Source organism: Homo sapiens, chromosome 2 (genome assembly GCF_000001405.40).
Source record: "Homo sapiens chromosome 2, GRCh38.p14 Primary Assembly".
Taxonomy (NCBI): Eukaryota; Metazoa; Chordata; class Mammalia; order Primates; family Hominidae; genus Homo; species Homo sapiens.
This window is the reverse complement of record NC_000002.12, coordinates 33,522,251-33,548,236: the sequence shown is the minus strand read 5'-3', so window position 1 is coordinate 33,548,236 and position 25,986 is coordinate 33,522,251. Positions and strand designations below refer to the sequence as shown.

The following is a 25,986-nucleotide window of genomic DNA, read 5'->3' as shown; positions in this document are numbered from 1 at the left end:
GGCGCCCGCCACTGCGCCCAGCTAATTTTTTGTATTTTTAGTAGAGACGGGGTTTCACCGTGTTAGCCAAGATGGTCTCGATCTCCTGACCTTGTGATCCGCCCGCCTCGGCCTCCCAAAGTGCTGGGATTACAGGCGTGAGCCACCGCGCCCAGCCCTCTCTACCTTCTTTTACTCCCGAAGTTTTCAAAAAGAGAAACCCTTAGGTTCTTTTATCATTTCCTCCAGGTACTGTTTATGCCACTTGGTTTTCTAACCCTACAAATCTGTCACCAAGAACATCCTCAGTGGCCTTTTCTCATTGGCAGGAGGTAACACGGAGACATGTTTCCTTCTTTTGGCGCTCTCCCCTTAGGCACCCTGGAATTGCATGCCACCCCGCTTCTCCTCCTTCCTCTCCAGCTCCCCCTTCTCCAGCTCACCTGCAGGGCCCTCTGACTCCTTTCAATGCCTGCATGTAGGAGGCGAGTCCCTGAAGGCTCATTCCTCAGGCCCTGAGCTCACCTCCCTCTAAGAGTTCCCACCAGAGTTTGCTCACAAGATCGAGACTCCAGCTTACAGTGGGGCTGAAGACTTAATCTCCATCTCCAGCCCTGACTGTTGTCCTGAATTTTTGCACTGCATCTTTGACAACTTGCTAGACCTCTCTTCCTGATGATCCACTCTCTGTCTCAATCAACGGATCTAAGTCCAACTTCATCTCTTTCTTCCCTGTACTCCCTGCCCAGGCTTCCCTATTACTGTTTGCTGTGCCACAATTTTCCCCCAGGCTTGAGAACTTAAGATCCCTTTCTTACCTCCTATGCAAAATAACTTTGATTTTTGTACTTTATAAGTATTATTAAAGTTATTTTGCGTAGGAGGCAAAAAAAAAAAAAAAAAAAAAAAAAAAAAGGATTCTATATTCTCAAGCTTGCGGGGAAATTTGGCACAGCCTAGCACCTAACAGTTATTTTTTCTGCTCCTCCAAACGTCCGCCATCAAGGAGGCACCAGCGTCTCTTATTCCCTTCTTTGTGTTCTTGAGTTCTCATCATTTAGCTCTCACTTAGAAGTGAGAACCTGTGGTATTTGGTTTTCTGTTCCTGCGTTAGTTTGCTAGGGATGATAGCCTCCACTTCCATCCGCGTTCCTGCAAAACACATGATCTCATTCTCTCTCTCTTTTTTTTTTTTTTTTTTTTTCCCTGAGACAGAGATTCGCTCTTGTTACCCAGGCTGGAGTGCAATGGTGCGATCTTGGCTCACCACAACCTCTCCCTCTTGGGTTCAAGTGATTCTCCTGCCTCAGCCTCCGACATGTGTCACCACGCCCGGCTAATTTTTGTATTTTCAGTAGAGATGGGGTTTCTCCATGTTGGTCAGACTGGTCTCGAGCTCCCGACTCAGGTGTTCCGCCTGCCTCAGCCTCCCAAAGTGCTGGGATTACAGGCATGAGCCACCGTGCCTGGCAATCTCGTTCTTTTTTATGGCTGCATAATAGTCCATGATGTATATGTACCACATTTTCTTTATCCAATCTGTTATTGATGGGCATTTAGGTTGATTACATGACTTTGATATTTGAATAGTGCTGCAATGAACACTCATATGCCTGTGTCTTTACTGTAGAATGATTTCTATTCCTCTGGGTATATACCCAGTAATGGGATTGCTGGGTTGAAGTGTAGTTCTGTTTTTAGCTGCTTGAGGAATCGCCATACTGCTTTCCACAATGGTTGAATGAATTATACTCCCAACAGTGTATAAGTGTTCCCTTTCCTCTGCAACTTCACTAGCATCTGTTATTTTTTGACTTTCTTTTTTTTTTTTTTTTGAGACGGAGTCTTGCTCTGTCGTCCAGGCTGGAGTGCAGTGGTGCGATCTTGGCTCACTGCAAGCTCCGCCTCGCGGGTTCATGCCATTCTCCTGCCTCAGCCTCCCGAGTAGCTGGGACTACAGGGGCCCGCCACCAAGCCTGGCTAATTTTTTGTATTTTTAGTAGAGACAGAGTTTCACCGTGTTAGCCAGGATGGTCTTGATCTCCTGACATCGTGATCCACCCACCTCAGCCTCCCAAAGTTCTGGGATTACAGGCGTGGGCCACAGCGCCCAGCCAATTTTTAGACTTTCTAGTAATAGCCATTCTTGGCTGGGCACGGTGGCTCACGCCTGGAATCCCAGAACTTTGGGAGGCCAAGGCAGGTGGATCACCTGAGTTCAGGAGTTCAAGAACAGCCTGGCCAACATGATGAAACCTCGTTTCTACTGAAAAAAAAAGAAAAAAAAAATTGCCTGGCGTGGTGGTGCATGCCTATAACCAGCTACTCAGGAGGCTCAGGCATGAGAATCACTTGAACCCAGGAGGCAGAGGTTGCAATAAGCCGAGATTGTGCCAGTGCACTCCAGCTTGGGCAAAAGAACGAGACTCTGTCTCAAAGAAAAGTAATAATAATAATAATAATAGCCATTCTGACTGGTGTGAGGTGATATCTCATCGTAGTTTTGATTTGCATTTCTCTAATTATCAGTGATATTGAGCTTTTTTTCATATGCTTATTGTCCACATGTATGTCTTCTTTACAGAAGTGTCTATTCATGTCCTTTGCCTACTCAAAGGAATGGGCACAGATTTCATAATGAAGAGGCCAAAAACAATCTTTATTATATATATGATAAATGAATTTATGAATGCATTGTCCCACAAATTTATTACATCATTTGGTACATAAATTTGTGTAACAGTGCATTAGCTCATCTCCCCTCCTAGGGACTCACAGCGTAATACACCAGCCTATTAAAAGCTTTGGGAAGTCACACAGTAAAGACACCTATTTAATGAGATTTAACCCTGTGTTTCTCACATGTGACTACTTAGTTCCTTTTTCAAAAGTACTAATTAATAGCTACTTCTGTGGAACATCGTTTGGAAAACAGTACCTTAGAGAAAACATCTTTTTGAGACTTTCCAGTATTAACCACTCAAAACTTTAGTGTCATGTAAGCAAGATATGAATAGTCCAAACCTTCATTCATAGAAAACAATTCTATAGATATCAATAAGTAGAGATAAGGATGATATAGAGATAGAGATAGACACAAATATTTGCTAGGACAATCTCAATTTTGTCTCTAGAACCAACAGATAAAAGAAATGAAGACTAGGAAGTTATTTTAAGTCAATGTCCTATTTACATGTCACTAATAGTAACAAACTAAGCAAAGAAGTGGGTAGTTAGCAGGCAATTTAAATTTTACTTTGTAAAGGAAGTTAATGTTTCTAATTAAATTTATTTTAAAAGTATTCTTTGTTCTGGGTATATAATGAAGATGAATTTAAGATTTTAAGTTATGTTAATGTGTCAAGACTTTTCTTGGTGTGTTGAATTACAGATTTTATTTTTTAAATTCAATTAAAAAAAAATAGTTAGAGACAAGGTTCCCACTATGTTGCCCAGGCTGGTCTCAAACTCCTGTCTTCAAATAATCCTACTATCTCAGCCTCCCACAGTGCTGGCATTACAGGTGTGAGGTATCGCATCCGGCTCCAGATTTCGTTTTTTAAGAATTCTCATACCAGCAAAAATATTAGAGAATTTTAATGTAATTTAATTTGCCCATTTTACCAAAACAAAATCCAGCATTTCCTTACAGGTGATTTTTAAATTAGGAACTAATCTCGTACTATTAACAATTAATCAAATTATTAATGCCAGGATTTCTCAGCAGTTTTTTTTTTCAGATCATTATTTTCTTTTAATGAGTTGGGTTTTAGTATCTAAAGCGATTTAATTTTTAGGAATCATTTGACGCTAAAAAGCAATATATTTTTTCTTTATCAAGACAACCTTTGATCAATCAAAGAGAAAACAAAGCATGAATGCTTCTTGGCTGTCTGCAGCTATCATCTGCTTTAATGAAGACTATAAGTGAGTTTTTTTTTTTTGAGACAGAGTCTCACTCAGTCACCCAGACTGGGGTGCAATGGTGCTATCTCAGCTCACTGCAACCTCTGCCTCCCAGGCTCAAGCAATTCTCCCGCCTCAGCCACCCAAGTAGCTGGGATTACAGGCCTGTGCCACCATGCCCAGTGAATTTTTGTATTTTTAGTAGAGACAGAGTTTCACCATGTTGGCCAGGCTGGTCTTTAACTCCTGGCCTCAAGTGATCTGCCTGCCTCAGCCTCCCAAAGTGCTGGGATTACAGGCATGAGTCACCATGCCTGGCCAAAATTTTTTTAAAATCTTCATGAATTTTAAGATTGCTTCCAGGTGCACTAATTTTGAGGACTCTCCCAGGTTAGATCTAACAATATTTCTCCTCTACTCTTTTTTGGTGGAGATTTTTTGAGGTTGAGAGCTAAGCAATAGAAGCAATATAGCAAATGGAGTGCTTGGATAATTTACAAATGTGCACTTGTGTTCAACACTGACAACATGGTCTTCCCTGTGATTCCATTCAGGTCATGTTCATACACACCAAGAAAATAATCAGTGACAAATTAAACCTGGCTCATCAAAGCACCAGGGTTGAAGCTGTCAAGATGCAAATTACAAGTTTCCCTTCTCTCCTCTGATAATAATTTTCTGCTTTAGGATAGTTGCATTAAAATAAAACAAAATTAAAACTTACTGATCTTTGTCCAGAACACAGAAGGAATCCAAGAAGGGAAAATTGGCAGCTATACTTTCAAAGTCCTCTTGGGAAATGTACCCATCATGGTCGTGATCATAGTTTCTAAATACAGACTGCAAAGGAAAGATAAGTATTTATTGAATGACTATAAGGCAGGCTCTGAACTTGTTATTGCAAAAGCAACGATAACTAGCATATGATCCTTTCTATCAAGGAGGTTAGAATCTAGTGAAAGATAACTAAGTCAAGAAGCCTTTATAATATAACAAGACAAGTGGTTTGATGAGGATAAAAACAGAGTAATGGTTGGATGTGGTGGCTCACACCTGTAATCCCAGCACTTTGGGAGTTGGAGGCAGAGGTGGGAAGATCACTTGAGCCCAAGAGTTTGAGACCAGCCTGAGCAATATAGAGAGACCTCATTGCTACAAAAAAACATTTTTAATTAGCTGGGCACGGTGGTGCATGCCTATAGTCCCAGCCACTTGTGAGGCTGAGGCAGGAGACTTGCTCAGCCCAGGAGTTTGAGGTTACAATGAGCCAAGATCACACCGCTGCACTGTAGCCTGGGCAAACGAGTAAGGCATCATCTCTAAAAAATAAATTTTAAATAAAATTAAAAATAAAACTTCGGCTGGGCGCGGTGGCTCATGCCTGCAATCCTAGCACTTTAGGAGGCTGAAGCAGGTGGATCACCTGAGGTCAGGAATTCAAGACCACCCTGACCAACATGATGAAACCCCATCGCTACTAAAAATAAAATAAAATAAGAAATTAGCTGGGCATGGTGGCATATGCCTGCAATCCCAGCTACTCAGGGGGCTGAGGCACGAGAATCGCTTGAACCTGGGAGGAGGAGGTTGCAGTGAGCCAAGATGGCGCCATTGCACTCCAGCCTGGGCAACAATAGCAAAACTCTGTCTCAATAAACAAATAAATAAAATAGAGTGATATTGGTGGGGGGGGGAAAGAGGAGGTGGATTAAGAAAGGTTTCCTGGGAAAAGCAAGGTTTAAACTGAAACCTCAGGGTTGAGTAGAAATTGGCTTAGTGAATTTACAAATTCAAATACCATGACAATAGAAAATAAAGTTTTAAGGTGTTATCTCAAAAATTAAAGCATACATTTAATGCAATTCCAATCAAAATCCCAGTAGGGATTTATTTTAAATGAACAAATTGATTATAAAGTTCAAATCAAAGTGGGCATGTTGAAAACAGGCTAAAAATTATTTTAAATGAAGAGTAATGAGGGGGAACATGCCCTTTCAGAAATCAAATATTCTACACAGCTACATTAATCAAAACAACATGATACAAATTACCACAGAGAGTGGAGTCCTGAAACAAACCCATGTATGTATAGGAATTTATCAAAAAGTATCTTTTAAAATCCACAGATAAATTATGGATTATCCAATAACTGCTGTTGAGTTAAATGACTAATAATCTTACAAAATAAATTACCTCCAAACTAAATTCTAGATGTATTATATATTATTTATTTATTTTTCTTTTTAGAGACAGGATCTCACTCTGTTGCCCAGGCTACAGTGCAGTGGCATGATCATAGCTCACTGCAGCCTCAAACTCCTAGAATCAAACTCCATCCTCCTGCATCAGCCTCCCAAAGTGCTGGGATTATAGGCATGAGCCACTGCACTAGTGTATTATATAGTTTAATGCAAAAAAACCCAAAGCTATAAAAGTACCAAAGATAAATAGATGAAAATATTTTTCATGTTTCATAATCTTTGTGTGAAAAAGGCCTTTCTTGGCATGACATCAATGTCAGAAGCCATAAAGAAAAATATTTTATTTAATAAAATGCAAAAAAATTGAACCAAAAAAGCTCAATTAACAAATTTTAAGATAAATGTCAAACAGAGCAAGTTATTTGCAGCATATATGAGAGCAAAGACACAAAAGTCAAACAGGCAATCACCAAATAAAAATACAAATGGTCAATACATCCATGGAAAGTTATTCAGCTCAGCTAATCATTACAGAAACATTAATGAAGCTTTTTTTCACCTCTCAGATTAAATAAAATCTTAAAATACTGTAATCGATCATCTTCTAGGGTATGAGACAACAGGTACTCTTGTATCAAGTTAGTGACGTAAATAGCCACAATATTTCTGGAGGACAATCAGGAATTTTAAGTGCCTACTCTCTGACACAGCAATTCCACTTCTAGGAATCTGTCCTAAAGAAATAATCGAACAAAGTTGCGTAAGATACACATGTATATATGTATGTAGTATATGTGTGTTTATACATATGTAGAGATAGAGAATAAAGTCATATTAGATAATCTACAAATGATCAGTGGTTATCCTTGGAGAATAGAATTACCAAGACCTGAAAGTAAAGCTTTTTATTTTCTATAATTTATGTAATGCTTTAATATTTTTGATGATTCTATCTTCCTTTATAATCAGAGAAGAATAAAAAAAGTTTCCCATTGCCCTCTGCAAAATTAGGTTTTCAAAAAGATTTGTAAGTTCTTTCTGCAAACACATGTATACAAATTTATATTTGATTTTGATTCCAGTTTTAATTAATCTCCAGTTTTAATTAATTCCCAGTAGTTTCTGTCTATTCTATCTATCGCTATTGCCCTGTGTTGCAAGTATTTTGGGAAGTAGGTAAGGTATAAATGAATGAATTAATTAAAAATGTGACTAAAATGAGCCCATCTCAAGCTTTTTTGTAGGTAACAGAATTGTGCAAAATCAGAAAACATTACCTTTTTTTTTTTAATTCCAGTATCATTACTTAGCCATAATAAAAATAGCTTAAAAGTTAACTATTTTGGAATGCCTACTATTTATAGTTTAACATCCATATTTATACCACGAGTAGAAGATTTTTTGCGGAGTAAAATTCATCATAAAATCCTGGTCTTTTATTTGACTGAACCAATGGTAAGGAATTTGGAGAAAAGGGAAGAGAGAAAAGGTAAGGAAGACAGAATGAGACAGAGAGAGAGAGAGAGAGAGAGAGAAATTCCCCAGACACACACACACACACACACACACACACACACACACACACACACACACAAAACACACACACAGAGAGAGAGAGAGAGAGAGAAATTCCGCATGTGGACTGAGGAAGTCAGTATGTAGAATGAGACTGGGAGAGGGAACAGCTCTGCCTTCTATTTCCTGGCTTCAGACATTCCTGAGCTGCAGCTCAGTCCTTGCATTCCCTGGGGACCCCTGGATCCTTTTCTCACCTTCCCCAGCTCCAAGCTGGGTCTGTTACTACCACGGGCTCCACTGGACCTTATCTCCTTCTCAGCCCTTCCCTCACTAATATTCCTCTTGGCACCACCATTTTCCTGCCTGCCTAACACACTCCGCAAAATTTTTCTTTCAGCACCTCCTAGTTTTCTGAATTATCCAAGATGTAAGACATTCTTTCTTTTTCTTTAAATATCTTCTCCCAGCAAAAAGCACATTCTATCCCAAAGACTCAATTCTGTTGCACCAGCAGATGTACCTACCAATCCATTAAAGTAGACATTTAATTCAGGATCGCAGTTTCCTGTACCCGAGATGTTTCCGTGTTCCCCCATCGGCACTTCTACTCTTTTTTCTTTTCTTTTCTTTTCTTTTTTTTTTTTTCAGACGGAGTCTCACTCTGTCTCCCAGGCTGGAGTGCAGTGGCGCGATCTCACCTCACTGCAAGCTCTGCTTCCCGGGTTCACTCCATTCTCCTGCCTCTGCCTCCTGAGTAGCTGAGACTGCAGGCGCCCGCCATCGCGCCCGGCTAATTTTTTGTATTTTTAGTAGGGACAGGGTTTCACCGTGGTCTCGATCTCCTGACCTCGTGATCCGCCCGCCTCGGCCTCCCAAGTGCTGGGATTACAGGCGTGAGCCACCGCGCCCGGCCCTACTCTTTTTTCTACACGGAAAACTCTGACAGAGCCTTGTCCTACATTAGGTGATTTTTCTAATCTCAGTAACATCGGGCTGCTGTGTCATAAAATTCCAAAACTATACAAAAGGAGAAACTATCCAACTTACAGGATTTCTTTCCTGCCCTTGGGTAATCAATTTATTGGGCATCTTAGTGGGACCTATGTGGGTTTTTCATGAGTGATTCTAATCCCCAATCCCTTGAGCTGTTGACAATGACAGAGGTGGCAAATGCCTGTGAAAGAGAGGAGCTGGAAGTAGCTGAGAGTATCTGGGCAAGAGAGACAACAAAGGGAAAAGGGCCTTTCTGATCGACTCTCCCCAGGACCCAATGCCTGGTAGGACTAAGTGCCTGCTAAATTGTTCCTACCTGCCAGAGGGTTGTTTTCAGGGGTTCCATCAGATTCCTGGACAATCGCAGAACATTCTGGAAAGAGAAAGGGTCTTCTAGTGCCCTCTCTTTATTCTCCCTCAACCACTTACCTCCACTAATTTCCTTATGTGCTTGTTGATGACCGTGGGGTCTGGCTTTGGCATCACCCCTAATGCCCACTCCAGGGGTACCACAGGCTTGTTGGGCGTCGTAGGGGAGGTAGGCTGCTGATAAACAAAAAAAAAACCACATATTTTTCAACTTTATTATTATTATTATTTTGAGACAGGGTCTGGTTCTGTCGCCCAGGCTGGAGTGCAGTGGTGTAATTTCGGCTCACTACAATTTCTGCCTCCTGGGCTCAAGCCATCCTTCCACCTCAGCCTCCCAAGTATCTAGGACTACAGGTGTGTGCCACCACGCCCAGCTAATTTTTGTATATTTAGTACAAATGGGGTTTCACCATGTTGCACAGGCTGGTCTCTAACTCCTGGGCTCAAGCAATTCTCCGGCCTCAGCCTCCCAAAGTGCCGGGATTATAGGCATGAGCTACCACGCCTGGCCATATTTTTCAACATTAACTGGGGCCTTGAACAACTAGGACCAGGGACACTGAGAAGAATGAATAAGTTTTGTATATTCATAATACCAGTAGAAACTTACATTTATATAGCTATTAAATGCTTATAAAACAAGCATCTTATGTTAATGGAATCTAATCTGTAACTAAATGCATGTTTAGATACTGCCTTTTGTTTAACAGCAACTTAAATTCTATTATTTTATTTTTATTATTTATTTATTTATTTATTTATTTTGAGACAGAGTCTCTCTCTGTCACCCAGGCTGGAGTGCAGTGGCATGATCTCGGCTCACTGAAACCTCTGCCTCCCAAGTTCAAGCGATTCTTGTGCCTCAGCCTCCCAAGTAGCTGGTATTACAGATACCCACCATCAAGCCCAGCTAATTTTTGTAATTTTAGTAGAGACGGGTTTCCACCATGTTGGCCAGGCTGGTCTCGAACTCCTGACCTCAGATGATCCACCTGCCTTGGCCTCCCAAAGTGCTGGGATTACAGGTGTGAGTCACCACATCCAGACTAAATTCCATTATTTTAAATGGGAAAAAAGCAATGCGCTCCCAGTCCATCCAAAAATCCTATCCGAGTTCTCCAAATATCACTAAAACTTTTATATAACAATCCATCATGGATTTTTGTGTAATACAGGATACAAAAACACCAGTTATCTAATTCTCTAATACTTAGTGATCAGTTATGGTGCATGCAGCAAATGGGTACCAGTGGGTGGCCAAGTTTATGTCCTTACGTCTGCACCTTGCTCAATACGCTTAAGCACTTCTGACTGTTCTGCCAATCATTAGGTCTCTCTGGCCCTCTTTGGTGAACTTTCTTTCTCCACAGATTTTTCTGCATTCTTACAAGACATTTGCATATAAAGTTGTGGGGAAGATGGTAGCACAATGCATAACATGCTTGGATAACACAAGCACAGAACACAATCCTTTCAGGAGACCAGCCAAGACTGGTGTTCACTTTATATCCTCTCCCTGAAACCTTCATAAAATGTCAACATTTTTGCTGGTGCACACATGCAAATCTATTTTTTTCTATCTTTTCTTTTTAATTTATATTTATAGAGGCTGGGTACAGTGGCTCACACCTGTAATCCCAGCACTTTGGGAGGCTGAGGCAGGTGGATCACCTGAGGCCAGGAGTTTGAGACCAGCCTGGCCAACATGGTGAAACTCCCTGTCTACTAAAAATAGAAAAAAATTAGCCGGATGTGGTGGCACATGCCTGTAGTCCAAGCTACTTGGGAGGCTGAGGCAGGAGAATTGCTTGAGCCAGGGAGGTGGAGGTTGCAGTGAGCTGAGATTGCCACGGTACTCCAGCCTGGGAGACACAGCAAGACTCCGTTTCAAAAAAAAAAATTACATTTATAGATATATATACTTGTGTGTGTGTGTGGGGGGGGCGGTGTGTGTGTGTGTGTATTTTAGAGACAGGGTCTCACTATGTTGCCCAGGCTGGAGTGCAGTGGTTATTCACAGGCACCATCTCACTACTGATCAGCACAGGAGTTTTGAGATATATATATATATATATCCTATTAGTTCTGTCCCTCTAAGAGAACCCTAATACAATTATCTTCCCACTCCATCCCCTTTCCAGCTCCCCATCCTGCTAAGAGCCACCTCTGTCATTCAATAAAACCTCTGCCTTCACCATCCTTCAAGTCCATGTGACCTGATTCTTCTTAGATGCCAGACAAGGACTCAGGTACCAAGAAGGTAGGGTGTAAAAGGCTGTCACCCTGACTCTCCACTGAGCTGGTTAAGACTTAGCCATCCATGGACAGCAACTGCTAAAAGAGCATTAACTGTAACACACCCCTAGATGCTGTCTTGGGGCCAGAGCCCAAAAGCACTCTCCCCGGCCCCCACGCCGGCACCCACTTGTCTGTATGTTCCCCTCCAGCAAAGGGCTTGAATGTGGCCACACCTCTGTCGCAAGTCTCAGTGAAGGGATCCAGGGAACTCTCCCATCTCAACAGGACATGTCAAATAGGCTGACACTCCACTTAGAGAAGAGACAGAAAGAGACTGGGAAATGTCTTGTGTTAGATTCGTAGGATTTTAGCACTTAGAAGGGACTTTCAAAAGCTTCTACTCTTACAACAAATAAAAAGACTTTTCTATGTTTGATGGAAATATCTCCTAAAATTGGAAAAAAAAAAGATCCTGAAAATAAACTAAAGTAAAACTAAAGGCACACAAGGCAGGCAAGTGTGGTAAAATGGCTATTCCTAAGTTGTCCCTGAGATGAGGGATGGTAGAAACATCACTGGGATGGAAGACAGGCCTGACACTGAATCCCAGCTCTCCAACTTAGCAGCTGTTTGATCCGAGTGAGATACCTACTCTCACCAGACCTAGTTTTCTTTCTTTTTTCTTTCTGTCGTTTTTTTTTTTTTTTCTTTTTTAAATTTTTTTTTTTGAGATGGAGTCTTGCTCTGTTGCCCAGCCTGGAGTGCAGTGGCGTGATCTCAGCTCACTGCAACCTCTGCCTCCTGGATTCGAGTGATCCTCCCGCCTCAGCCTCCTAAGTAGCTGGAACTACAGGCACATGCTAGCATGCCCGGCTAATTTTTGTATTTTTAGTAGAGACAAGGTTCTCCATGTTGGCCAGGCTGGTCTCAAACTCCTGACCTCAAGTGATCTGCCTGCCTCGGCCTCCCAAAGTGCTGGGATTACAGGTGTGAGCCACTGTGCCTGGCCCAGACCTAGTTTTCTTAACGGAGTTAATAAGATAACCTGTGTATGATGCTCTGCCAGGCATTCAACAACTGGAAGCGATTCTGGTGCCTAATTGGTGTCAAGAGGTGGAAATTCTGTATGCACACATACAATAGGGCTTAATACACCATGGCCAGGTTCGTCATGACAAAACTACAGAATTAGGGAGGGGCTTACAAATTCCTTTTTGGTTTTCAATAGCTTTGGCTTTCTTGCTAGCTTTCTTACTCTTGCTAGCTTTAAAGAGTCTGGGTCCTCACTCCTACCATTGCATGTGCCATATCATCCCACGTGGCTCTGTTCTGCAGTATTTCCAGGAGATGAGCCTCTGGGGACTGGCAGGAAGGAGAACATGCTCATGGAAGCATATGCACTATTTTAAGAACAGATGCTACCAGGTCAGCTGACTCAGGCTCAAGTGCATGCCCTGCCAGGGCCAGAGGACGGCTCTCACTGCCATTCTGTCTCTTTCGGTCTGAGGGTTCAGAATCACAGTAGGTATTAATAAACTTAGGGGGCATAGTCACTGCCAATATGTTACAGAGTTCAGCTGGTAAGGATGAGATCTTTATAAGAGAACTGATCTCAAGATGTGATTATAAGAAGCAAGCATAGGCATTTTATCTTCAACATGCAAGCCTCAACCTCATTATAAATTTTAAACTCATCCAGGCATTTTGTATTAGTGCAAAGCATATCTAAAATATAGTCCATCCACTAAAACCAATGAGTGGTGTATATTCAATAATGCAATTTCTTCAATCTCATTATATAATGTTTATTTACTAAGCGTCTGCCATCTATTAAGTGAGACACCATCCAATGTGACATCCAAATTCTGAGTTGAATCAATGGTTAGTAGAGAAATTTGTAAATTATGATCGAGATGTTTAAAATTTTAAATCTAATTTTATGTTGAATGGAGCTTTTTTAAAGCCTGAAACAGTCTAAATGATCTTTAACATTAAGATGAGTTATTACTCCTTTCCTTTCTTTTTGGTCCTAGGTGTAATGAGTTCTTAGCAGGAACACAACAAATAGAAGATCAATTATAAAACAGAGTAATGAGAATGATGTTCTTCCTCTTTATTAGCCTCTGGTATGAAGACATAATTCTCAAACTGACAGGGCTAAGCTGTCCCATTGATAAAATGGGAATAATGGCCGGGCGTGGTGACTCATGCCTGTAATCCAAGCCTGTAATGGCCACGGCAAGCGGATCATGAAGTCAGTAGTTCGAGACCAGCCGGGGCCAACATAGTGAAATCCCCATCTCTACTAAAAATACAAAAAAAAAAAAAAAAAAAATTGCTGGGTGTGGCAGTGTGCACCTATAATTCTAGCTACTTGGGAGGCTGAAGCAGGAGAATCACATGAACCCAGGAGGCGGAGGTTTCAGTGAGCCGAGATCGCACCATTGCACTCCAGCCCAGGCAACAGTGCAAGACTCCGCCTCAAAAAAGAAAAAAGAAAAAGAAAGAATAATGTCAATTTTTAAAATTCTTCCGTTTTAGAACATAAAGCAGCATTGTAATAGCCAATTACTGTACATGACAAAAAATAGTGATTGGTACTGATCCTTGGAGAGAAAATAATACCTACCGATTTAGAATTTCTAGGCTCCAGCACCAGTGACAGTTTGTAAATATCATCTTCAGTGTGATAGAGGTCCAGGGAAAGCTACAACAAAATTAGAAGGGATAAAAATGTCGGATTACATTTATTTATTTATTTACGTTGCTGAATTTTTTTTCAAGTTGAATGTTTTAAGTTCACTGTCTAATAATTTGAGTAAATGCAGAACAATAAAAAGACGGCACGCAGAGATGGAAAATGAAATTTAAAAGAGAAAACGTTAATCCTGGTTAATCATCAGTATTGACGAGAACCATCAACTCAATTCCTCAGCAATATTTACTGAGCAGCTCCCAGGTGCTCAGTGCTGAGTCACGGATGAGGGATATGTGATGTTTCCAGGCTGGAAGTGGGGACAGATGCAAACAATAAGACTTGTAAATGTAATAAATGCTGCCTTTGAAGTTTGATTAAAGAACTGTTGAAATAAAGGAGCAGTTAACTAGGCTCCTATTATTTGAGAGCATTGTGCTAAGTCCTAGTGAGGCAAGCTGATATAAAATCATTTCTTGCCCTCAAGGCCCTGATAATTTATTTGAATAAACAGGGCCTGAACCTAAAAAGATGTGTTCGTAGCAATAAAACAGCACATGCTGAGTGTGAAGTAGTTGCTCCACTTTAAGTGCTCCAGGAACCGGTCAGAAATCAGGGAGGCAGCATAGTAAATACACGAGGGCAGAGGCTGTGTGGTCAGGCAGGGCTGGGTTCAAGCATGCAGCCTGCCACTGGCTAGCTCTGTAACCTTTAGCAAGTAATTTCCTCTCTGACACTCAGTTTCTGCATCTGGAAAATGGAAATGATCATAAAAGTCCCTACTGAGTTGGATTTGTGTCAGGACCAAATGAAATAATGCATGTAAAGTATTTCACACAGGACCTGGTACACAATAAAATCTCAAGAAGTGTTATTTTATAGTGTTAATGTTACTGTTATTATCGCATTTGTTATTAGTTATATTATTACTATGCATAGGGGCCCCGGAGACAGAAATGATCAGGATGGATTCATGGAGGTCCTTGTGAATTGGGACTTAACCAGGAGGATTGGGACTTAATTTGGACAAAAGAGAGAGGAAGATCATTGTAGGCAAGGACAACAACACAGATCCAGGCTGGAGAACATGGATAAACTCTGTAAAGCCTTACAGTGCATGTTTCCACTCACCTAAAACAGAAGTCATGAGGCTTAAAATAAACCTGAACCATTCTCACCTAGTCCTTTAAAGCTAGGACACTCAATGAATCACATCACTTCCCTGGCCATGAACATAACCAGTGCGGGCTCCCTTCTTTGACCATGTAGGAATGAAAAGTTTTCTTTAACATATTTTATCTAACATGTGTATGAGGTGGAGTGTGGGGGAAAAGAAAGAAGGAGGAAGCCAGAGAAAACTCAGAGGCGAAGATGTTTTCAAAGATTCCTTTTCCTGTTCTACTTCCTTTAAAAATGAAGTTGGTGTCATAAAATTTCATTTTCAAATCATTCATTCAACAAATATTTATCAGTAATCTACTATGTGTCAGGGATTGTTCTAGTCACTGTTCTAGCAGCTGCTTGAATATAACATTTAAATTAAGGACTTCATAATCAGGTCACGTTTCTTTTACCTGCACTTTGTCACAAAGTTTTTTTTCTAAACAAAATAAAACCGACTTAACTGTAAAATCTCCCCAGTATCATTTCAAGATCATGACAATCCTGCTTACAAAGAAGAGACATCGTATTCACCTTCCCCTGAACAGTAATCACTCCCACCTCCCAGGCTCTGCCTTTTTACAGGAAAGGAAACATCCGCATGTCACAAACAAATGCCTTTGGGAGCCATACCATTATATAAAAGAGCCAAGTAGGATGCGTAAAAGGTACATTTTGATAGAAACGTCTTATTTGGAAAACAGAGTCTTTGCAGATGTAATTTATTTAGGGATCTTTCCCCTTAGCGCCACAATAAAAAAAAATGTGTGATGATAAGTGGGACCTGACACCACTCTCTGTTAGGGAAGTCACAGGGAGAGGTGCGGTTTGTGATGAACATCACTGCTCAGTGATGACAAATTGCTGTCAGCCTAACGTTGGACCTTGAGTTGCCAAGTCTTCTGATTTGTTAAGAGAAGCCAGAAATCTGGAGTTTTAGATAAACTATCCCAATTTTCAAACACTGGGAACTAACAACGACAAAAGTTTAGGATTCCGTATGGGCCAAATAAAATACATCAGCCGTGGGCAGTTGCCTACTATTTTGTAATTCCCACAACAGACAACTGTGCCAGGCTCTAAGCCTCATGAAAGTGGGCAGCACATCTGTCTTTTGCACCTCTGTACCCTGAGTCCCAGCTTGAAGCCTCGCACTGTGAAGGTTACATAAATAAAGAGAGAAAACCAAGTGACTCCTTCCTTCTGAATTCCCTGTTATCAGGAGTTAGTGCAGACTTGGAGGAGCATGTTCCCTTCCTCCTGACTCAGCTTCCAAGTCCTGTGATGACTGGCACCAGCATCTGCTGGAGATGAGATGACAGAAGCACTACCACAGCCAACCAAGAATCCAAATAAGCCACACAGTAAGGCAAGGAGATGCTCTCTCAAGAGAACCAGAACACCCTTGGGTATTTCCATGTGTCAAATGGATAACTGGCTCAGCGATGGAAATGTTTTGGTAGTCTCCAAATACTCACTCTCTGCTTATTAGTAGTGTGAGCCTGGGCATGCAGTTAACCTTCCTGAGTCTCAGTCTCCTGATCTGTGAAATGGGAATCATAAATAATAGCTGCCTCCAAGAACGATGGTGAAGATGAAATGAGCTAATGGGTGTCTGACTAAGGTTTGTTTAGAAGGTCACAAATGCAGGGTTTGGCTTCCAGTCAATGCACGAGTCAAATGCCACTGTGCTTATCCGTGAATGTAAAGCTGCCCTCGGGGTTACTCCTAGCATCTCTTCTTTCCCAGTCACGATTCTACTTCCTCTCTCAGATCTCCTCTGGGCTTTACGGACCTGCCCAAAGGGTGATCTGTTCTACTTTCTGCACAACGTTTTTATAATATGGGCTGCTCATCAATGGAATTTCAAGAACATTTGCTCTTGTCAAACATATTTTGAGCCTGGCTGTTTTTTTCTGACAAATGTTCTTATCCACTGTTTCAAGTTGTTGCATTTACCAACCTATCCTTTCAGCAAAGTTGGTTGCAGATTCAGTCTTCATTAGGATCTACATTGGCTTGACTGTTTATCATAAAATAAAACACACCTGGACATCAGACTGCCTCTACTCACCATTTTTGAAACTCTTCTTATTCTTCTTCTTCTTTTTTAAAAATGAGACTAAAATTAAAAATACAGGGGCTTTCCAGTTATTTGCATGTACTCAAAATGGTAAAAGTAACTGATAGGGCTAAAAATACCATGAAAAGATTCAAACTATTTCATACCCCACGCAACAGAAACATCAGCTTTTAAAACTCCTGGTTACGTGAATTGGGATGTAAGGCAAATGTCCTCTCCAGATATTCCCTGAAAGGAAGGAACAATACAAATCCCAACAGTTTGGTGGCGTGGTCCTCCTTCCCTCAACAGGCCTGGTGCCGTATTCAAGGGGCCAAGGATACAATGACAAAAATGACAAACATAGCCCCCACCCTCACAGATTTTGTCCTGTAATTACTTCCTTTACTGCACATCATGAAGAGGAGGAGAGAGCAGTATTAATTAATTTTTACAGATGTGAAATAAATGAGATGTCAGCAGTGTGCCCACATGAGAGAGCAAATGTCCATTTGAGGGGAACCCGGCCCAGGCTGGGATGCAGAAGTTTGCTCCCTGTCCTTTGTAAATCTCAGTTTCTTCTTTAGTTTAAAAAAAAAAAAAAAAAAAAAAAAGGAAGGGGCAGGGGTGATGTTACACTCACAGCCCTGCCCAGGCTGCATTGCAGGGTATGTGTGAGAATTTACTGAGGAAACGTATGTGAAAAGTGCTGTGAAAACTGTAATTAACTATTACAGAAAGTTAAAGCACTGCCCTACAGCCTACCACACGGAGTAGGCATTTCATAATTGTTGATGAACATAAGGGTTCTCTTTTTCTGTCCTCCAGGGCTGTCCATCATATACAGGCGACCTCAGCTGGAGCCATGTTTAGATGAAAACAATCACTTCAGGAGAAAATTTAGAGTCCTGAGGCAAAATGAATCACCCCTTCCAATGCTGGCATGTGGATGCCTTCGCATGCATTGGGGCAGCTGTGGTCAGCCATATGGGTCTAATCCAGATATGTGTGTGCTTCCTAAAATGGCCGCTGGGCTCTAGTGACCACAAGATGGAAGCCTCCTCAGTCCTCATGTTGAGGAGATTAATCCTCAGGAGTCAGGAAGAAGGAATGTATACTGCTATGCACTAAACTTTCTTCTTGGCTGTGGGGACAGAGAAAGGATCTTGACTGGAAGTTTGGTGACTCATACACAGGATTGTGCTATCGTGATGAGCTATTGGGCTGGTACTACAGAATCAAGTTGACTCTTGGTTCCTTATTCTTAAGGCTCCACTGGTTCTTACATCTAGAATCCTAGAAGTTTAGAGCTGGAAAAGACCTCACAAATGAGCATAAAACCCTTGTTTAAAAAAAGCCAAAGTCAAGGCTGTTAGCAAGGAGACAAAACCAAGCAACTGCTGAGGGAAGGCTGAAAGCAAGGTCTCACATCTAGGATTTTGCCACTACACTATGCTACCCAACACTGCAGTTACTAAATACAGTGCTTGATGGCTTCTAAGTTTTCCTTCAATATGAGACAGAGAGAGAAAGATTCCTCCCCAGCAAAAAGGAATTTTTTTCTTAGCCTTTATTTCTAGAGTTCAGATTTTTTTCATTTGTACTCCTGAATTTTTTTTTTTTTGAGATGGAGTCTCGCTCTGTCGCCCAGTGCAGTGGCACCATCTCGGCTCGCTGCAAGCTCCACCTCCCGGATTCACGCCATTCTTCTGCCTCAGCCTCCCAAATAGCTGGGACTACAGGCACCTGCCACCACGCCAAGCTAATTTTTTTGTATTTTTAGTAGAGATGGCGTTTCACCGTGTTAGCCAGGATGGTCTCGATCTCCTGACCTTGTGATCTGCCCGCCTTGGCCTCCCAAAGTGCTGGAATTACAGGCTTGAGCCACCACGCCCAGCCAGTACTCCTGAAATTTTATTGAAAATCCTTCAATATTCCTCTAAATATTTCTTTGTCATAACATTGCTTGTTTCATTTATAACTCAAATTAATTTCCCTACCCCATTATTATCTTTTAGCTCTATGAGAAATTGCCCAAGGGTAGGCACCTGCTCTCTGAAGTTATGCTTGACATCGTGGACAGCTTGGACACAGACACTGGAAGCCTAGGCTCCACATGGAGACTGGTCTGCAGACATCACCTGTGGCTGTAGGTCTGCAGTCTGACTGGGGCTGCAACTCTGATCACTTATTCATGGAAACAGATTTACATGGCAAATCATTAATAAATGCAGGTGCTTGGATTATTGTGAGTTGCGTTCCCTGCCCCCAGTAGAGAAAGTCTGTATATTTACTATTTGTCACAAAAACTCAACTTTAAGAGATCTGTGTTTCTGTGTGTTGGCCACTTCTGCTTTATTTGAAGGGTATAGCTGCATTATTGCCTACACTTAGGGGTTTATTCTTTGGTAAACAATTACATGGTCTAGGAACAGTTTGTGAGAAGGGCGAGAAACCACACTCCTATTCCAATGCAGCAGACCTAGGGGATTTAGGCTCTCAGAAATTAAGAGGAGTTATTGGTTTCATTTTCCACAGCCATACAAGGAAAACAGTTAATTCAGTATTGCAGCTGAGTTTCAGATGCTACAGTGTTATAAACCCAAACAGGGAAGTTGCACCTCTACTTTTGTTTAAGGAAGGGTGAGTGAATTTTGTTATGCCTCTTCTTCCCACAAAGCAGCAGCCAGTGGGAAATGTTCTCTTCTATACACCGTTGTGTCTAAAAGTTCTAGGATGCAGAGACCAGCTAAACATGTGTGCCACAAATGCCAAAAAACTATGAGTGGTAGGTGAACTTCTTTTGTCTAAGCCACATCATTCCTAAATACAGCATGCAGTTCATTTATTGAGTTCCCAAATATGCCAGGAACTGTGAGAGGTGCTAGGCATATGATATGTAAGGCAGATAAACAGATAAAAATCGAATAAAGAGTGATACCTCCTATAGTTAAGGAAAATATAAAGTGCCAGGGTGATGTGACAGATGCATGACTGCTATGGAGGGGGAGAGAGAATGCTCCAGAAAGACAGGCTTTTGAAATTGAACTTGCCACATGGATGGGTTGGGATGGGATTCTCCAAGCAAGTCCAAAGGCCAGGAAGCAGAAGACAGCATTTCATGGGGTGGAAAGTATAAGAAGTTCAATATTTCTCAAAGGCTGGTAAAATGTGGGATAGGGTGATGGCAAAGAAGGTTGGAGACTGAGTCTTCAAGAACCTCGAATGCCAGACTGTAAACTACATCCTGGAGGTTTGGGAGGTTCATAATGGGAACAGGGGGATCACAGATAAGGTCCTTGCATTACTCCAGGCTTCAGCCAAAGCAGTGCAGTGAGGATAAAGAGGAGCAGATGACTGGAGGACATACAGAAGGATGTGATAAGTTGGATGAATGTGGTGAAGGAGAGTGAGGGCTGAGGCACAGTCTGGAGGAGCCTAAGAACTCCAGAAGTGGAGTCATATGGCAGAGACTGGGCCCCTCCGAACAAAGGTAGATTTCTTTGCCCCAAGATTTGCTGGTTATGGAAAATATTAATCAGGGCTCCTTTTCCCTTGTTCTATGAGATTTCCTCTCATCTATTGACTCTGAAACCAATTTTCCCCCAGAATGAATTGCTGGCACACATCTTCCTGTGTCTCCTGGAAAGAAAGGTGCAGAAGAATTATTGAGCCCAAACTTGGCTCCTTGGAACTCACCGTGAGCAGGTTGATCAAATCCATGTTGGGTTCTAAGTGGTGAGAGGCATTCTGCAGGGAGACTAGTTCACTCAGGGTAACGGAGAGCTGGTGCATTTTCACAATGTTCACTTTGTTCTCCTCTGTCCAGTCTGGGAAAATGACATGGACAGCTATCAAGTCTTTCAAGTGTACTCCAAGGATGGGGATTTTGAAGCCATCGCAGTCGGCAAAGGCCTTGCGGTAATTGCAGTAATTGCCGTTGGAGGAGACCAACTCTGTCATTTCATTCCAGTTCTGGGAACAGATGGAAAAGTAGAATTTTCAAACAACTTTCCCTCCTGCACACCCCCGGGCCCTGCAATGTGTGGCTAGGAAATTCCTCAGCTACTGAGAAAAGTATCACTTGCACCAATGTTGCTGCAGGGAAATATGAATCAGGAAAAAGAAAGTTAGAAAAAGTACTAGGCCTGGCTATGCATTGAGCAGCCTGTTCCATTTTGCTATAAAATGGAAATAGCCTACATGTCTGCCTACCTACTAGGGATGTTGGGATATTAAATGGCATCATGTATACTTAAGTGTTTGGAAATTTATGAAAATATTACTGTCCGCAAATTCAAGCATGTCGAATATTAAAATTGTTATTTGTTCCAAGAAAGTTGCATTCCAGATATTACTCGAGGTTAATTTGGGACAGTATGGGGTAGAGAAAGTTGCAATGCGGTGTGAGATAGCTGTGGTTCTATATTCTGCCTAACTAGAAGGGTGACCTTGAGCAAGTCACTTCACTTTTTTGGGCCTCAGTTTCTTTCTCTGTAAGTAAGAGAAGTTCCGATACATAATTTTAAAAGATGCACTGGTAGTTCTCCAAGCCTCTATAAACTTCTATCAGATTCTTATTCTTCACAACATTTAAAATTTGTTTTTGCTTTTTACTTGAGATCTGGTACAAAGCTAAAAGAAAATGAAACACTTATTACCTAATAAGTTCCATTACACTTGGAATGAGTACAGAGCTTGAGGTCAAACAACGGTACTTCTGTGGCTTACTTCCTGTTGTTTATATGGACAAGTTATCGTTGGTTGCTTCACAGCAACCAGACCTTTCTAGTAGACCCCAATTTTGATTAGTCTGCTCTCTCCAAAGCAGCCCTTGTGACTCAGACAGAGTCTGTTTCCATTTCCAGAACCAGGAATGGGTTTTGATTTATCATCAGAGTAATTGCATCCTTCTAGTTTGTGATTAGTTCAGGAACTCAGGGTTAAGCCAATCAGTACATTGTATTACTCTGGCAACTGTTATTGGTCCAGGGATGGACCTAAGACCTGAGTTGGCTCAAAAGGTCTTTAATTCTATGGGTGAAGAGTTGAAGTGAGTAGTCTTCCCTATCTTCAACTTTCATGAACAAGGGAACGTAATTTTTCGGTTGCTACATACAGCCCAATTAGGAGAGAAACAGTTTGATGAAACAAACAAAAAAACAAAACTCTCCGATATTCAGAGGCGGGCGGAGCACCTGAGTCAGAGGTCTGATCAGACCGTGCCTGCTCTGTCTCTGGACTTCCAGGTATGTCCCCCAGGCTGGAGTGCAGTGGTATGATCCTGGCTCACTGCAGCCTCAAACTCCTGGGCTCAAGTGATCATTCCACCTCAGCCTCCCAAATAGCTGGGACTACAGGCACACACTGCCACACCTGGCTAGTTTTTTTTTTTTTTTTTTTTTTTTTTTTGTAGAGACAGGATCTAGCTATGTTACCCAGGCTGGTGTCGAACTCCTGGCTTCAAGCAATCCTCCCACCTCCACCTCCCAAAGTGCTGAGATTACAGGTGTGAGCCACCACGCCTGATGGACGATACATTTGCTTATTGTTTAATTGCTGTAGAAGTTTTTTTCTTTTTCTTTTAAACTCACAGCTAAAAGTGTCCTTATTGAAGTAGCAAAGTGCACTCTTATATGAGAATCTTTTCATAAGGATGAAATGCTCCTTTTTGCTCAAGAAGAAAAACAACTATCATGTCATGAAAATAAATGTGGCAGAAACGCTCAGTTTGGAAAATGATCACTGTTTCTAATATATATATATATATTCATGACAATTCAGTTATAAATCTGAGGATTTCTATACAAGGCCTATGTCTTCCCCTTTCTATCTTCTGATGTGCCCAACACAGTGTTATGAATAGTCATTCAATGACTTTATTTCAGGAGGTAGGGTAGGAACTATTTCTGTCTTATTTACCTTGTGTATCACAATGCCTATCACATAGTAGGACCAAATAGATACCTGTTGAATATTTACCACTACAATATGTTGAGTTTTTTTTTTTTTTTTTGGTTTTTTTTTTTTTGAGATGGAGTCTCGCTCTATCGCCCAGGTTGGAGTGCAGTGGGGTGATCTCGGCTCACTGCAAGCTCTGCCTCCCAGGTTCATGCCATTCTCCTGCCTCAGCCTCCCCAGTAACTGGGACTACAGGTGCCTGCCACCACACCCGGCTAATTTTTTTTGTATTTTTAGTAGAGACGGGGTTTCACCACGTTAGCCAGGATGGTATAGATCTCCTGACCTTGTGATCCGCCCGCCTCAGCCTCCCAAAGTACTGGGATTACAGGTGTGAGCCACCGTGCCCGGCCACCACTACAGTATTCTAATGGTATGTCAAAGCATTCTTCCTAGGACACTTACCACCACCTCCAACCTGTTTTTCCAGGTGGACTCAGCTGGTGTGGTTATTCCCTTTCTACTTTGTCCCCATTTATAACCTACCACTGGTTTAAGAGGAAAACTTTCCCACTCTGAGTGACATTTGTTAGGCGTATACTAAACCTGAACAATTTACAAATGCATTTTTTTACTTTTGATTAGGATCAAGTCTACTATACCTTTGTAACTTCTGAAGAAAGATGAGAATGGGTCTCTTTGAGGCGTGAAATGGAACTATGACTGAGGCCTCCCACCACTGCCATCAGGGTGTTAAAATTTTTGAGCTGAAGGAGCTTCTGCAATAAAAATGCATCAATGCTTTTTAAGGATTTTCAAATTATTCTAAACTTTCTGAATTACAAGTAAATTTATGCACAATTTTAATAACAAGAAGCTAAGGAAAACATTACATCAATTTAAAATGAAGCACAAATAGAATCAGAGAAATATATCTATTATTTCACAGAGAAATAGCTACATTAAATGCTTCTAAGCATTGCTTTCTGAAAGCAATCTTCTTGCATGACAAAAATACGATTTGTTCATTAGATATCAGCGAGTAGTTTAGTTGTCCGATGCCCTTATACTGTGAACGCCACATTTCCTCAATGACTTTTCTCAACAGAGTGAACGAACATCTAGAACTCAAGAACCCAGTCTGATTACCAGACATACCTTTGCAACATTGATAAACTTTGTGATGACTTCTGCCCTTTGCTGGGGGGTTGGTTTGCTAAGAACCATCAACTGGACCCACTTAGAGATTCCATTAAATAAAGCAATCGATCTTTCCAAGGTTGGATTATTCTCCAGGCAGCCATGGATGACATAGCTTTGGTAATCAGTGAACTAGGAAAGGAAGATTCAGAGACTCTGAATTATAATAGAGCCTTTGTAAAATCAAAAATTAGAATATTGCATAGAAAAGGTGAGATATTGTTTCGTAACAACACAATTTCTTTTATTTCACATTTACAATGGCATCCTAAAAGTTTGAATATACATGTGTCTTTAAAATGTTATTTTGCTGCTTTTCAAACCCCACTACTCACCCCACGCAAAGACACCCACTACTACACATCACAGCTTTGGTGGGAGGAGAAAGAGGCAAGATTCAAAGTTGTATTCCAATGAGTTCAAAATTTACTAGGTGATAAGATTCACCTGTGGCACTTGGTAAAATGCTGGTTCCTGGGAACACTCTAGGTGTAAATGATCACTATCTTCAGAAGAAAAACCTAAGAATCTCCTTTTTTTTTTTTTTTTAACCGACTGTCGCTCTATTGCCAGGCTGGAGTGCAGTGGCGCGATCTCGGCTCACTGCAATCTCCGCCTCCCAGGTTCAAGCAATTCTCCTGCCTCAGCCTCCTGAGTAGCTGGGACTACAGGTGCAAGCTGCCACACCTGGCTAAATTTTTTAGTATTTTTAGTAGAGATGGGGTTTCACCACGTTGGCCAGGAAGGTCTCGATCTCTTGACCTCATGATCTGCCCACCTTGGCCTCCCAAAGTGCTGGGATTAAAGGCGCGCCCGGCCAAGAATCTCCATTTTTAACACACTGCTGGTGATTCCAATCAGGCAAGTTAAAGATATAACGGTATACAATAAAGACGAGGAAATGAACGTAAATATAATTATTTCAAGTTAGCATCAGTTGTAAAGTTGTTTCAAGAAAAAGAAGACAGAAGAAAAAAAATTAATTGAAGTAAGGCTGCTCTTTAGCAAGGCAAACACATTTTCAGAATGTTAGCATGGATGTCAAAAAATACATAAGAGCTTTCTATCATATAAACTGTGCAGGGGACTCCCATGGCCTGCCTGTGGGGAATTGTTAAGGTCCTCTCCAAGTAGGATTACTTAGTGAAAGAATCAGTCTTTCAGAAATTCATGCTTCTAACCAAGACAGTCTTCTTTGCACGCAATAATGTAATTCATTCTCTGACACCTTGGAAAAGGAGGAGGAGCGACTTCCCCACAGCTTGGCGAGACAAAGCAAAGTGGCTGGCTGATTGTGAACCAGTGTGGAAAATGTTTACCATAACGGGAGGAGAGAGAGCAGGAGGCTAAGAAATCACAGACCAGAGAAAGAAAAGGGGGAGTTAGAGAAGGAATGAGGCTCCATCAAGATGAGTAGGAAAGAAAAGTTTAATTCAGGATCTCTATCTCTGGGAAAGAAACAACCTGATGTTGAGATTCTCCTTAAAGTCTACAATTCCTATTTTCAACCTATACCCATAATTAGCCATTTATACAAATCCGAACCTAACTAAATATTTTTTCCCAAAAACGAAGGGCCTAGCAAAACATGTTCACTTGGGAGAAGTCAATGGAGCTAAATCAACCTTGAATGGTTAAATCTCCACTGACTGTTTAGAAAAATCACGCTTTAATCCTATGAAAGGAGACATTGAAAATAGCGACAGAAATATAGCTCCTGAGCCATAAAATAAAGACAGGATAATATTTATCTTTGGTTA

The 25,986-nt window shown here is 41.3% G+C and overlaps 1 protein-coding gene across 16 annotated transcripts in view, besides 2 other annotated features; it reads right to left on the bottom strand.

Moving 5' to 3' along the window:
• The window catches only part of RASGRP3 (RAS guanyl releasing protein 3), a 128,384-nt gene that overhangs the window by 16,495 nt on the left and 85,903 nt on the right, over positions 1 to 25,986 (bottom strand). For 9 of the 16 annotated variants that reach the window (NM_001349975.2, NM_170672.3, XM_011532746.4 and 6 more), the window contains 6 exons: positions 24,185 to 24,358; positions 23,689 to 23,805; positions 20,825 to 21,100; positions 13,837 to 13,914; positions 9,027 to 9,143; positions 4,610 to 4,725 (listed from right to left, as the gene is read on the bottom strand). In NM_001349975.2, coding sequence (NP_001336904.1) covers positions 4,610 to 4,725; positions 9,027 to 9,143; positions 13,837 to 13,914; positions 20,825 to 21,100; positions 23,689 to 23,805; positions 24,185 to 24,358 — 878 coding nt within the window. The remainder of the gene's footprint in view (positions 1 to 4,609; positions 4,726 to 9,026; positions 9,144 to 13,836; positions 13,915 to 20,824; positions 21,101 to 23,688; positions 23,806 to 24,184; positions 24,359 to 25,986) is intronic. The other 7 variants (NM_001349978.2, NM_001349979.2, NM_001349980.2 and 4 more) reach the window with 1 other exon arrangement.
• Positions 17,308 to 17,387: a silencer, noted in NCBI's record as "silent region_11349". NCBI's record gives its function as "represses an Ori minimal core promoter by ATAC-STARR-seq in GM12878 lymphoblastoid cells {active_cell/tissue: GM12878}" and the evidence as "EXISTENCE:reporter gene assay evidence [ECO:0000049][PMID:35858748]".
• Positions 17,398 to 17,517: a silencer, noted in NCBI's record as "silent region_11348". NCBI's record gives its function as "represses an Ori minimal core promoter by ATAC-STARR-seq in GM12878 lymphoblastoid cells {active_cell/tissue: GM12878}" and the evidence as "EXISTENCE:reporter gene assay evidence [ECO:0000049][PMID:35858748]".